This window comes from Homo sapiens, chromosome 1 (assembly GCF_000001405.40).
Source record: "Homo sapiens chromosome 1, GRCh38.p14 Primary Assembly".
NCBI lineage: Eukaryota > Metazoa > Chordata > Mammalia > Primates > Hominidae > Homo > Homo sapiens.
The window spans coordinates 40,721,060-40,735,796 of NC_000001.11; the positions used below are offsets into that span (position 1 = coordinate 40,721,060).

Consider the following 14,737-nt stretch of genomic DNA (forward strand, 5'->3'; position numbering starts at 1 on the left):
CCTAAAAAAAGAGAACATGTTACACAAGTCTGAAGCAAGTGAATATGCTAATTAGAGAAATAGATTTGATTGTGTGCCAGGAATGGTTTCTTGGGGAGAAAAAAAATTTATCATCACTGATTAGTGAATGTGTAGACAGTGTTTAATTTCTTTACATTTGTACTGTAAAGGCAAGCTTCTTATCAATGCTATTGCAGAAGAGCCTTAAACATTGGTTTCAACCCATGAGATAGTCTGAGAAATTCCAACTTTCCAGAACATGTTTCCTTCATGTTCACTTCAGGATGTTGGATATAGATGGAAGTGGGTGGAGCTCTCTTTAGAGCTCCAAACAGAATCTTTTGCTTGGATGGTGGGGCCAGGTTGAGTGGGGAGCTGCCTGGACTCCAGGTTTCCTCTACCCTCTAACATAAACAAGATTCCTTTCACAAGACAAAACAGGCACGTACTCCTAGCTTGTGGAAGTCTTAGGTATCCAAGGAGATGGTGGTGGTTGTGGGTTTTTTTGGGGTTTTTTTTTGATACAGGGTCTCACTCTGTTGCCAGGCTGAAGTGCAGTAGTGCAATCATGGCTCATTGCAGTCTCCCAGCTCCTCGGCTCAAGTGATCCTCCTGCCCCAGCCTCCTGAGTAGCGGGAGCTACAGGTGCGTGCCACCACACAGGCTAATTTTTTTTTCTTTTTTGTAGAGACGAGGTCTTTCTATGTTTCCCAGGCTGATCTTGAACTCCTGGGCTCAAGCGATCCTCCTGCTTTGGCTTCCCAAAGTGCTGAGATTACAGGCATGAGCCACCGTTCCCAGCCCAAGGAGACATATTCTAAGAATTGAAGGCCGGGCGCGGTGGCTCATGCCTGTAATCCCAGCACTTTGGGAGGCCAAGGTGGGCGGATCAGGAGGTCAGGAGATGGAGACCATCCTGGCTAACACGGTGAAACCCTGTCTCTACTAAAAATACAAAAAAGTTAGCCAGGCGTGGTGGTGGGCACCTGTGGTCCCAGCTACTTGGGAGGCTGAGGCAGGAGAATGGTGTGGACCCGGGAGGCGAAGCTTGCAGTGAGCCAAGATCATGCTACTGCATTCCAGCCTGGGTGACAGAGTGAGATTCCATCCCAAAAAATATATATAAATAAATAATTAATTTAAAAAAAGAATTTAAATGTTTTTGGATTAGTGTGGAGAGAAAACCTAGTATAGCTATTGATCATTGACACACCCAAGGATTTAAATTTGGAACGTTCCCATGTTCAGCTTGAATTCTTTGCTTTTTTGGAACTAGTACATTTGTTCCAAATTTAATAGTTTAAAGGGCTTAAAAATTATTTCATGTTTATAAAAGAGATAGGAGAACATCTTTCTCTATTTTAATATGTATTTCCATGCATCTGAAACTAGGCTTTTTAAAGAAATATGTCAAAAGCAAAGTAAGTCTAAATTATAGAGAAAAAGAAGCTAGTTGGTCTTTAGGCTCGGTACTGTATCTGGGACTCTTCAGACCAGTAGTTGGTGTCTTGTCTAGCTTCAGGCAGCCATGATGATATGATGCCATCTGGCATTTGTATGAAGCTTGCTATTTTTTGAGGCCTTCTAACATGTGTTTTACCATTTGTGTGTTTCAGCTGCTCTGTGGGATGTTGCTTTAGATGAATAGAGAAGTTTCTAAGAAGTTAAGAGATTTGCTCAAGATCACAGTTCGCCAGAGAGCTAAGAACCCCCAGGTCCAATACATTTTATTTATTTATGTATTTACCTCGTGCTTTAGTGCCCCCAACTGTTCGCAGCTGAGTATTCATAGGTGCTGCTAACCTGCCTAGAGACATGCAAAGGGGAAGGATAAAACAGAAAAGAAAAAAGAGTGACAGCTTAAACAGTGCAAAAAGTGGGAAAGAGCAAGTTATAATAAATCAAGACAGAATTTTAGAGCTTTTGCATTTTGACTCATCATTTATTGTATTGTGATCTTGAGCAAGTAATTTGATATTCAACCCTCAACCTTATCTGTAAAATTGGAATAATATTGGTAAATTTATCACTGAGCTAAGTAAGGGTCAATTGAGGATGATGTATGTGGCATGTATTTTATGAACTCTGAAGCCCGTAAGTTGGCATCTATGAAACATTCTTCAGAATCACACTTCTTCCCTCTGCTAGACACACAAACACAGGATACTGCCAGAAACTGGGCAAGAGGCTGTTTGTGAATCTCAGAAGGCACCCGGTAAGAAAATGATGCTTTGTTTTAGAATACAACTTAACTTAGGCTACAGGCACTCTTTCTGTCTCTAGCTCATGTCACAATTCCTTTTCGGGATTGAGGCCTGAAAAACCAGTTACTCACCATTCTTCCTACAAGGATTTATTTACTCGTTAGGCTGGAGGGTCAGAGAGACTAACAGATACTTCTGTGGGGCAGAGGGGGTCTGGCCCAGCTTACTTCTAATTGAGGATGAACAGGTGAGGGAGGCAGGGGAGCTAAGTAACAGTTGTGTGATCTAGGACCAGCTTCTCAACTTCTAGTGTCAGTTTCCCCATCAGTAAATCAGGGATAAATAAAACACCTAACAGTGCTTTAAAACAAGATCAGAATATTATCTGAAACTTTTTCTTTTCTTTTCTTTTTTTTTTGAGACAGGATCTTGCTCTGCTGTTCCTGCTCAGGCTGGAGTGCAGTGGCGCAATCATGGCTCACTGCAGGCTTGACCACCCAGGCTCAAGCAGTCCTCCCGCCTCAGCCTCGTGAGTAGCTGGGACTACAGGTGTGGGCCACTACACCTGGCTAGTTTTTTATTTTTTATTTTCTATTGAGATGGGGGTCTCACTATGTTGCCCAGGCTGATCTCGAGCTCTTGGGTTCAAGTGATCCTCCCGCCTTGGCCTCCCAGAGTGCTAGGATTAGAGGCATGAGCTACCATGCCTGGCTGAACCTTTTTCCTTAAAGGGCCAGATATTTTAGGCTTTGTGGCTGTATGATTTTTGTTGTAACTCTTCAACTCTACTGTTTAGCATGAACAGACAATATAAACTAATTAGGGGCTGGACATGGTGGCTCACGCCTGTAATCCCAGCGTTTTGGGAGGCCGAGGTGGGCAGATCACTTAAGGTCAGGAGTTCAAGACCAACCTGGTCAACATGGTGAAACCCGTCTCTTCAAAAATACAAAAATTAGCTGGGTGTGATGGCGGGTGCCTATAATCCCAGCTGCTTGGGAGGCTGAGGTGGGAGAATCGCTTGAACCCGGGAGGTGGAGGTTGCAGTGAGCCGAGATCGTGCCATTGTACTCCAGCCTGGATGACAGACTGAGGCTCCGTCTAAAAGTAAATGAATAAATAAATAAATAATTAGGGTTGATGTCTTCCAGTGAAACTGTTTCTAAAAACAGGCTGTAGGCCAGATGTGGCCTATGAGCTGTAGTTTTTAGACCCTTGCTTTAGAATACTTCACTAAATACTTGATCCTTTTTCTTCATCATACAAAATACTGATAGTGTTTTATTGCTGTTATATATGCAGAGATGGTTTAAGTTTGAGCATTGAAAGGATGAGTAAGAATGTGTGTGAAGTAAGATGTTACATATCGTTTTCTATTCCACAGAAAAAAGTTTTCAAATGTTCTGTTCATGCCTTCCCGTCACTTTCATTGTTTATACCAGTTGCTGTGCCTTCATTTTTCTCTAGTTGTGCTACAACTATATTATGATCTGGCCCCTGTTTCAAAGATTATATTGTACTAGATACCAAATAGAAAAGTATTTTTGTTTTTGAAGGAAAAGTGGCTCTTCTGCCAGTTTGAAAATGTGTCCTTGTGTACAGATCTTTAAGGAGAGCAGTGTGCAGCCACTTCTAAGCCTAAGTCTTTTAGGAAGCATGGTTTTCCAGTAGGCACTTTGAAAAGCGGCTTCCTCTTAACACAGATATACCTTCAAACGTCAAACTTGGCATTAATCAGAGTTGGGGAAGTAGAGCTATGTTATTCATTCTTGTATTATAGTAGTGAAGACTATTCAGTAGCCTGCCAGTAAATATGACCAGCTGGTACCCAGCTATGTAAGGGTTTAGAATGTAAGTAATAAGGTTTCAGGCACTAAACGTAGTGCCTGAACTTAGTTTCCTGCATGACTATATAAAAACCTTAGATGAGTTTAAATAGAGACTATTGAACCTTCTCTTCTCTCTAGTCACTTTGCCTTCCCTTGTATTCATTCATTTATTGCATCTTCAAGTAGTGAAGTGTAGGACTTCCCCACCAAACCACCAGAGACCCCTTTGGAATGTGTTCAGTATACATCATTGCTGGAGTGGCTTAGTAGAGTGACTGGCCCAGGGCCACCAGCTAGTAGGCAGCAAGCGTCCAGTACACAGACGTAGGTCTTTTAATTTCCAGACCAGTGCTGTTTTTCTTCTTGTGAAATTGTCAATTTTAGATTGGTTTTATTTTGGAGAGTATAAGCCTTCTTAAGAAATGCTTTTTAGCTGTTGTGATCGATAATAGCATAAGTCCTAAGGTCCATCTGTGTAAACATAAAAACCAAATAGTCTGTTAGTAAATAAATCCTACCCCCCTTTCCCTCATCCATCCATTTATTTTTATTAATATTCTTCCTTTCTCTGTATCTCCCATCATCATTTAAAATATAACATCTTACAAACCTTAGCTCATTTAAATGAAGAAACCTAGAACTAACCTCAGTAAATACCTGAGCAGTACTGGTACATAAAATGCTTGTGATAGTGCTGCCACTAGGGCAAAATACAATAAAGCTAACATTATAATAAAGAGAGTCACACAAATTTGTTGGTTTCCCAGTGCAAATAGAAGTTATGTTTATATTATAGTGTAGCCTATTAAGTGTGCAACAGCATAATGTCTAAAAAATGTGCTTATTTTAATTTTAAAATACCTTATTGGTAAAAATGCAAATTATCATCTGAACTTGCAGCAAGTCATAACCTTTTGCTGCTTGAGGGTCTTGACTTGATGATGATGGCTGCTGACTGATTCGGGTGGTAGTTGCTGAAGTTTGGGGTGGCTTTGGCAATTTCTGTGTATGTGTTTGTGTGTGTGTGTGTGTGTTTTTTTTTGAGATGGAGTTTCGCTCCTGTTGCTCAGGCTGGAGTGCAGTGGCGCCATCTCAGCTCACTGCAACCTCTGCCTCCTGGGCTCAAGCGATTCTGCTGCCCCAGCTTCCCAAGTAGCTGGGATTGCAGGCCCGCACCACCATGCCCAGCTAATTTTTGTATTTTTAGTAGAGACGGGGTTTCACCATGTTGGCCAGGCTGGTTTCGAACTCCTGACCTCAGGTGATCCACCCACCTCAGTCTCCCAAAGTGCTGGGATTACAGGCGTGAGCCACCGCATCTGGCCTGTTTTTTTTTTTTCCTCTCTCCACACTGTCACCCAGGCTGGAGTACAGTGTCATGATCTTGGCTGATTGCAACCTCTGCCTTCCAGGTTCAAGCCATCCTCCTACTTCAGCCTCCCAAGTAGCTGGGACTACAGACACGTGCCACCACACCCAGCTGATTTTTGTATTTTTTGTATAGACAGGGTCTCCTGTGTTGCCCAGACTGATCTTGATGTCTCAAACTCCTGGGCTGAAGTGATCCTCTTGCCCTAGCCTCCCAAAGTGCTGGGATTACTGGCGTGAGCCACTGTGCCTGGCTGGCAATTTCTTAAAATAAGGCAGCAGTGAAGTTTGTTGCTTCAGTTGACTCTTCCTTTCATGAAAGATTTCTCTGTAGCTGCTTTTCTGTTTGATAGCATTTTACCCAGAGTAGAGCTTCTTTCAAAACTGGAGTTTGTCCTCTCAAATCCTGCCACTATTTTATGAACTAAGTTTATATAATATTCTAATGTTCATAGCATTTTCACTGGGAGTAGGTTCCATTTCAAGGAACGACTTTCTTTGCCTTCCATAAGAAGCAACTCCTCATCTGTTAAAGTTTTATCATGAGATTGCAGCAATCCAGTCACATCTCAGGCTCCGCTTCTAATTACAGTTCTCTTGCTATTTCTACCACATCTACAGTTACTTCTTCCACTGAAGTCTCAAACCCCTCAAAATCATCCAGGAGGATTGGAATCAACTTCAGACTCCTGTTAATGTTTATATTTTGACTTCCTCCCATGAATTTTGAATGGCTTTTTTTGTTTGTTTGTTTGGTTGGTTGGTTGGTTGGTTGGTTTTTGAGACAGGGTCTTACTCTGTTGCCCAGACTGGAGTGCAGTAGCAAGATCTTGGCTCACTGCAGCCCTGATCTCCCAGGCTCAAGTGATCCTCCCACCTCAGCCTCCTAAGTAGTTGGGACAATAAGCATGTGCCACCACAACCAGCTAATTTTTGTATTTTTTGTAGAGACAGGTTTTGCCATGTTGCCCAGGCTGGTTTTGAAGTCCTGAGCTAAAGCAGTCCTCCCGCCTTGGCCTCCCAAACTGCTGGAATTACAGGCCTGAGGCACTGTGCCTGGCCATGAATATTCTTTTTTTTTTTTTTTTGAGACAAAGTCTTGCTCTGTCGCCCAGGCTGGAGTGCAGTGGCACGATTTCGGCTCACTGCAACCTCCGCCTCCCAGATTCAAGTGATTCTCCTGCCTCAGCTTTCCAAGTAGCTGGGATTTCAGGCCCACACCACCATGCCCGGCTAATTTTTGTATTTTTTTAGTAGAGACAGGGTTTCACCATGTTGGCCCGGCTGGTCTCAAACTCATGACCTTGTGATTCGCCCGCCTCGGCCTCCCAAAGTGCTAGGATTACAGGCATGAGTCACCGCGCCCAGCCTGCCATGAATATTCTTAATGGTATTTAAAATGGTGAATCCTGTCTAGAAGGTTTTCAGTTTACTCAGATCTGTCTGAGGAATCCCTGTCTATGGCAGCTGTGTCCTTATGAAGTGTTTTTATTTCTGAGACAGAGTCTCACTCTGTCACCTAGGCTGGAGTGCAGTGGTGTGATCTCGGATCACTGCAGCCTCATGCTTTGGCCTCTAGAGTAGCTGGGACTACAGGCGTGCACCAACAAGCCCTGCTAATTTTTGTGTTTTTAGTAGAGATGGGGTTTCATTATGTTGGCCAGGATGGTCTCGAACTCCTGACCTCAGGTGATCCTTCTGCCTTGGCCTCCCAAAGTGCTGGGATTATAGGCATGAGCCACTGTGCCCGGCCATGTATTTTCTTCAATAATAAGACTTGAATGTTGAAATTACTCTTTGGTCCATGGGCTGCAGAATGGATATTGTGTTAGCAGGTGTTAAAATACTAATCTCGGCTGGGCGCGATGGTTTACACCTGTAATCCCAACACTTTGGGAGGCTGAGGCGGGCGGATTACTTGAAATCAAGAGTTTGAGACCAGTCTGGCCAACGTGGCGAAACCCTGTCTTTACTAAAATTACAAAAATTAGCTGGGCGTGGTGGCGCATGCCTGCCATCCCAGCTACTCGGGAGGCTGGGCATGAGAATCGCTTGAACCCAGAAGGCGGAGGTTGCAGTGACCTGAGATGGCACCACTGCACTCCAGCCTGGGCGACAGAGTGAGACTGTCACAAAACAAAACAAAACTCTGATGGAGTTGTGCAAGCAGATTAATGTTTTTTGTTTTGTTTTTTGAGACGGAGTCTCGCTGTGCTACCCAGGCTGGAGTGCAGTGGTGCAATCTTGGCTCACTGCAACCTCTGCCTCCTGGGTTTAAGCGATTCTCCTGCCTCAGCCTCTTGAGTAGCTGGGATTACAGGTGCCCGCCACCACGCCGAGCTAATTTTTGTATTTTTAATGGAGACTGGGTTTCACTATGTTGGCCAGGCTGGTCTCGAACTCCTGACCTCAGGTTATCCGCCCGCCTTGGCCTCCCAAAGTGTTGGGATTACAGGCGTGAGCCACTGCTCCCAGCCTCCATCAGTTTTTGGATGACCAGGTATATTGTTAGTGAGCAGTAATATTTTCAAAGGAATCTTTTTTTTCTGAGCAGTAGGTCTCAACAGTGAGCTTAAATAGTCAACCACGCTGTAAACAGATGTGCTGTCATCCAAGCTTTGCTCCATTTATAGAGCACAGGCAGAGTAGATTTTGTATAATTCTTAAGGGCCCTAGAATTTTTGGAATGGTAAATGAGCATCGGCTTCCACAGGCATTGACTTCTTTGTAGCTATGAAAGTCCTTGATGGCATCTTCTTCCAGTAAAAGTCCATTTTGTCTGCACTGAAATTCTGTTGTTTAATGTAGCCAGTTGCATCAATTACTCTAGCTAGATCTTCGGGATAAAACTTGCTGCAGCTTCTACATTAGCACTTGCTACTTCACCTTATACTTTTATGTTATGGAGATGGCTTCTTTGCTTAAACCTCATGAACCAACTTTTCTTCTGCAGCCCCCTCACCTCTCTCAGCCTTCATAGAATTGAGAGTTAGGGCATTGCTCCACATTAGGCTTTGGCTTAAAGGAATGTTGTGGTTGGTTTGATCTTCTGTCTAGACCACTGAAACTTTCTTCATATCAGCAATAAAGCTGTTTGCTTTCTTATTTGTGTGTTCACTGGAGGAGCACTTTTAATTTCCTTCAAGAACTTTTTCTTTGCAGTCACAGCTTGGGTAAGTGTTTGGTGCAAGAGGCCTAGCTCTTGGTCCATCTCAGCTCTTTTTTTTTTTTTTGAACCGGAGTCTTGCACTGTCGCCCAGGCTGGAGTGCAATGGTACGATCTCAGCTGACTGCAACCTTCGCCTCCTGGGTTCAAGAGATTCTTCTGCCTCAGCTTCCCAAGTAGCTGGGATTACAGGCGCCCACTACCATGCCTGGCTAATTTTTGTATTTTTGGTAGAGAAGGGGTTTCATCATGTTGGTCAGGGTGGTCTTGAACTCCTGACCTCAGGTGATCCACCCGCCTCGGCCTCCCAAAGTGCTGGGATTACAGGCATGAGCCACCGCGCCCAGCCCCATATCAGCTTTTGATGTGCTTTCCTCACTAAGCTTAATCATTTCTAGCTTTCGATTGATTGAGTTAGAGACAGAGTTTTGTTCTGTCACCCAGGCTGGAGTGTGGTGGCATGATCATAGCTCACTGCTGCCCAAGTGATCCTCCCACCTCAGCCTTCTGAGTAGCTAGGACCACAGGTGCATGCCATCAGCAGGACTGGCTAATTTTTCTTTCTTTTCTTTTTTTTTTTTTTTTTTTTTTGGTAGAGATAGGGGGTGTCTCTCTGTGTTGCCAAGCTGGTCTCGAACTCCTGGATTCATGCAGTCAGCCCTCCTTGGTGCCTCAAAGTTCTGGGATTACAGGCGTGAGCCACCACACCTGGCCTTTAGCTTTTAAGTGAAAGATGTGAGACTGTTCTTTTACTTGAACGCTTAGAGGCCGTTGTAGGGTTATTAAGTGGCGTAATTTCAGTATTGCTGTGTCTCAGGTAATAGGGAGGCCCGAGGTGGGAATGGCCAGTTGGTAGAGCAGTATCTGTGAAGCACAATAAAGTGAAATGCAATAAAACAAGGTATAGTTGTAAAAAGGATGTCACCTCATGACAGAGGAAGATATGATCAAAATGCAAGTCACAAAAGTGAGTGAAGAAGGTAAGTGCCTTGATCATAGAGAGATACTTGTTGACATGTTAAGTTGGAGATGCACAGGAATGGTTGGGAACTCAACCCAAAAAGCCTAAGGGCTGCAAGTCGGTTTGGGGAACATTAAAGGGGAATGATAATACCAACATTATATTTGTTTCTTAGTCAGTACTGAGCTAAGATATATTTGTTTGCATTTGACAGTGAGAGCATTATTTTTAGGTAAAACATGTCTTCCCAGGATGGTTCAACTAGTAGTACAGAGGGTCTTCAGACAATGTTGTTTGATTATAATATTGATGAAGAAAAAAGAAACCAGTTCCTGGCCGGGGTCACTCTCTGTGTGGAGTTTGAGCATTGTCCCCACGTCTGTTTGGTTTTTTTTCCAGTACTCTGCTTTCTTCTTGCATCCCGAATATGTGCATGTTAGGTTAATTGGCACATCTAAATTGTCTCAGCCTGAGTGAGAGTGTGCCCTGTGATTGAGTTGTCCAGGCTTGGTTCCCACCTTGTGCCCTGAACTGTTGGGATAGGCTTCAATCATCTGCAACCCTGAACTGGAATAATTGGATAAATAATCATCTTACTTTTTTTTTTGGGACGGAGTCTTGCTGTATCCCAGTATGGAGTGCAGTGGCATGATCTTGGTTCACTGCAACCTCCACCTCCTGGGTTCAAGCGATTCTCATGCCTTAGCCTCCCAAGTAGCTGGGATTACAGGCGCCTGCCACCATGCCTGGCTAATTTTTGTATTTTTAGTAGAGACAGGGTTTTACCATGTTGGCCAGGCTGGTCTTGAACTCCTGACCTCAGGTGATCCTCCTGCCTCAGCCTCCCAAAGTTGGGGTTACAGGTGTGAGCCACCGCACCTGGCCTTTCTTTTTCTTTTTCTTTTGGCGGGGGCGGGGGACAGAGTCTTGCTCTGTTGCCAGGCTCTAGTGCAGTGGCGCGACCTCAGCTCACTGCAGCCTCCACCTCCTGGATTCAAGCGATTCCCCCGCCTCAGCCTCCTGAGTAGCTGGGACTACAGGTGTACGCCACCACACCCAGCTAATTTTTTATATTTTTAGTAGAGATGGGGTTTCACCATGTTGGCCAGGATGGTCTCAATCTCCTGACCTCGTGATCTGCCCACCTCGGCCTCTCAAAGTGCTGGGTTTACAGGCGTGAGCCACCGCGCCTGGCCCCGGCCTTTATTTTTCTTAATCTTTCTTCAATGTATGTATAGTTCATACTTATTTCAGTGTTTAATATTAGAAGTGTCTTGATCTTTATTTAGAAGTTTGGTGATGTTTTTGTGACCAGAAATATGGAATAGGAACTAACTCTTATTTATGTCAATTAGCCTTTGGTAAAATTGGTTTTGTTATATGTTTGGCTTAAGTTGCGGTTTCCAAGAGCCTATCGAAGACATTAAGGGAGGACTTAACTTTGCTTTAATTGGAAGCAGCATTGGTCAAGAATTGGGTTTCATTTTAGCGGAGCTTCCTGTGGTCTTTTTCCCTTGGACAGTTGTTGTGATGTTAGGTTTTTAAGTATTATCTCCCAACAACATCTATTTAGTTTTAGTTACCTCAAAGAGCTGTATTGTGGGTTTAGGCTACTATAAAAGAGTTTGGTATAGAGAATGAAGTACATGCCAAGGAATAGAGAGCTGAACTGAAGTCTAAAGGTCCTGAGTTTCAGAAACCAGGTCATATTGCAATAAAACCTTAGATTTCTTTTTATTTATGAGGTTGATAATTTTGATACATCCTGTTGTTCCATGCCCAGGCATATCACTAAGAGAAGATTTGGCAGGCATGGTACCTGGTTGAGAGCAAGAGCTTGAAAGATTTCCAAACAATTTTAAAAGGAACACTCTGATTTTGGGATGTTTTGAAAACTTCTGAAGTTTCATTTTTTTCTTTAAGAATGATAAAGAGTAACTGGATATAAGAGTAACAGCTAGATTGCCCACTCATCAGTGGTCTGATCAAATCATCTCACTTCTGCATGATTTTCCCCTTCTTGCTAATGGATGGCCAGGCAGAGGTATTTATCTTCCTCCTACTTACCCATTGTCATTAATATTTCAGACTTTGCTAATCTATCCTGGTCACTTTTCTGAAGAGGTTCTGACTTTGAAAAGATTTACACTTGAGAATGGTATGCATCCACATTTCCAGCCTTCAAGTCTGCCTTTCAGCTTCCAGCACTGTCTTAGATGTTTGTGTGTGTGTGTCCTTTCTGTCATCCCCTTTTATTTTAAATCCATTTCAGTAAATCAGTTTCAGGTAGATTTCTGATTGCAGTCTTGCTTTAAAGTCCTGGAGCTCATTTAGTCTAAGCTTCTGGAATAGCTTGTGTAACCATTTCCTTTGGTTAGGCAATTCCAATAAGTATGTCAGGGCCAAGCTTTCCAAGATTCGCCCCCCCCCCCTTTTTTTTTTTTCCTGAAAGGCCATACCCAGCATCAGTCTTGCACCTCCTCTTAGGGGTAATTAGTTATCAGACTGTGTGCTGGATACTGTGAGGGATCCAGAGAGATGAATCATATGCAGATCCTACCCTCAAGGAGCTTGTATAGCAGGAGGGGAAATAAGACATACACATTGATGTGTATGTCATACAAGGTATCAAATACAATGATTGTACAAGGTAATGTGGTGAGGACAGAAAGAGAGGTGCAGATCGGGCCTCCTTAATGCTCCCAAGGGAGGGACCAGTTCCAGAAAGCAGTAGAGAATACTTCGTGGAGAGATAGTAATTGAGTTGAGTGCCTGTAGTCCCAGCTACTTGGGAGGCTGTGGTAGGAGGATTGCTTGAGCCCAGGAGGTAGAGGCTGCAGTGAGCCAAGATCACACCATTGCACTCCAGCCTGGGCAACAGAGCGAAACCCTGGCTTTGAGAAAAAAAAAATAGAGAGAAAGAGTAGTTTAACATGGAATGAAGAGGATCCTGGAATGAGTCTCTTTTTTCTTGTATTTTTTATTATTATAATTTTTTTGAGGCAGGGTCTCCCTCTGTTGCCCAGGCTGGAGTGCAGTGGTGTGATCATAGCTCACTGTAGCCTCAAACTCCTGGGCCCAGGAGATCCTTCTGCCTCAGCCTCCTGAGTAGCTAAGACTTACACGTGTGTGCCACAATGCCTATTTAAAAATTTTTTTTTTATTCTTCTTTTTGAGATGGAGTCTCGCTCTGTCGCCCAGGCTGTTGTGCAGTGGCATTATCTTGACTCACTGCAACCTCCGCTTCCCAGGTTCCAGTGAAACTGTTGCCTCAGCCTCCCAAGTAGCTGGGATTATAAGCATGTGCCACCATGCTCGGCTAATGTATTTTGTGTTTTTAGTAGAAACAGGGTTTTGCTATATTAGCCAGGCTGGTCTTGAACTCCTGACCTCAAGTGATCCTCCACCTCAGCCTCCCAAAGTGTTGGGATTACAGGTGTGAGCCACAGCCCCTGGCCTTAAAAAATCCTTTTTTTAGAGACAGAGTCTCACTGTGTTGCCAAGGCTGGTCTCAAACTACTGGCCTGAAGTGATTCTCCTGTCTCAGCCTCCGGAGTTGTTGGGATTACAGACATAAGCCACAACACCCAGCCTCCTCTTACTTTTAAATACATTCTTTCCCTTATTATCCTAGAAGATGAACCCAGAATATTTTCCATGGGCTTGTAGATGTTGTAAATGGACTACTTCTGTAGCAAAATCAATTTATTTGCAATTAATGCATTAAAATAAGAGGTGATTAACTACGGTTGCTTTATTTATTTATTTATTTATTTATTTATTTATTTATTTTGAGATGGAGTCTTGCTCTGTCACCCAGGCTGGAGTGCAGTGGCATGACCTCGGCTCACTGCAACCTCCACCTCCTGGGTTTGCAGCCTCCACCTCCTTGGTTCCCGAGTAGCTGGGACTACAGGCATGTGCCACCACAGCCAGCTAATTTTTGCATTTTTAGTAGAGATGAGGTTTCACCATGTTGGCCAGGCTGGTCTCGAACTCCTGACCTCAGGTGATCCACCCGCCTTGGCCTCCCAAAGTGCTGGGATTACAGACGTGAACCACCGTGCCCGGCCTGCTTTATATATATAATATTAATTGTTGGGTGTTTTTAAAGCTCCATGCAAAGAATGGATCTGCTTTAGGAAAAGCCTTTTGAATAAAAGTACTCACTTTTTCCAGGAATTTACATTAACAATTTATGTTCTTCTAAGAGACATTACTAATAATATCTGCAAAGATGTTAGAAAACATGCTTCAAACCTTTTTCTCTTTTTTCCTGGTGAGAAGAACTTGTGTCCTTCAAAAGAAGATTACCTTTGTCTTTCGAAGTCAGGAATTTATAAAAAGAGTTTGCTGGATGGAAAAATCATAAAGGCCATAACTCTAAAACCTAATGTAAAGAAGAACAGTTAGAGCTGTCCAAAGATGGGAAAGAATGTCTTACCAGTAAGCCAGTTTCCCAGAACTGGAGTGGGGGGGCCCTCAAATGTAAGCTGGTTGAACACTTAAGGTAGAATCACCCGGGGTTGGGCAGAGGTTGAAGAAAAGCTGCGAGCGTCTTATGAAGGGGTGGGCCTGAGTGTCTCCTTATGTCTTTTTTTTTTTTTTTCAGTCCTGAACTTCTATGATGCAGTAAAATGTAAAGGATATTATTGACTTGTATTTTTCGCTTTACCTATTTGGGATTTCCTAATGTAGATGGGCTTCTCAATTTTAAAACTTAACCTTTAATACATTTTCAGTTCCAAAAAAATTTGATAACTTCTGTTTTGTACCTAACTTCCACTACTACAGTATGTGGCTCTGAGCCAGCCAAAGATTCATGATCTGTTGACTACACAGATGTTTGCGGGCTGATCATGCCTGCACATCTGTAGTTGGGACAGTTCAAAATTTAAAAGCAGACTGCACAGATGGTTCTAGACGTGCTTTTTGAATTGTGTACCTTTGTAATGTTTTGGGGGGATATCAGAGGACAGCCAGAATTTGTTACCAGACTTTTAAATCGTACAGGTCTTTGTACTCCAACTAAACCTACCCATCCATTAGCAAGTGTACAGAGATATCGTCCTGGCAATTGTGCATCTTTCTCCTTTGACCTTAGCAGTTTGCATGGCAGATTGTGCCAAGATGAGGCCTGTCCAGGGACCCATGCAATAAAAGGTTAGATTCTTTTAAAGCTTTTTGATAATTATTATTATTTCCAGAA

At 43.3% G+C, this 14,737-nt stretch overlaps 1 protein-coding gene across 35 annotated transcripts in view; it reads left to right on the forward strand.

The window, feature by feature from the left end:
* The window catches only part of NFYC (nuclear transcription factor Y subunit gamma), a 79,900-nt gene that overhangs the window by 29,356 nt on the left and 35,807 nt on the right, over positions 1–14,737 (forward strand). For 4 of the 35 annotated variants that reach the window (XM_047421348.1, XM_006710660.4, XM_047421337.1 and 1 more), the window contains exons 1-2: positions 2,154–2,215; positions 14,542–14,691. The exons of 8 other annotated variants lie outside the window; for them this stretch is intronic. Coding sequence is in view for 16 of the 27 variants with exons in the window: in XM_006710658.4 (XP_006710721.3) it covers positions 14,442–14,691 (250 nt within the window). In the remaining 11 variants the exon portion in view is untranslated. Of the gene's footprint in view, positions 1–546; positions 646–1,377; positions 1,716–2,148; positions 2,216–2,625; positions 2,734–7,513; positions 9,548–11,621; positions 11,687–13,086; positions 14,692–14,737 lie in introns of those variants that run through there. 23 more of the 35 variants (NM_001142590.2, XM_047421353.1, XM_047421376.1 and 20 more) reach the window with 23 other exon arrangements.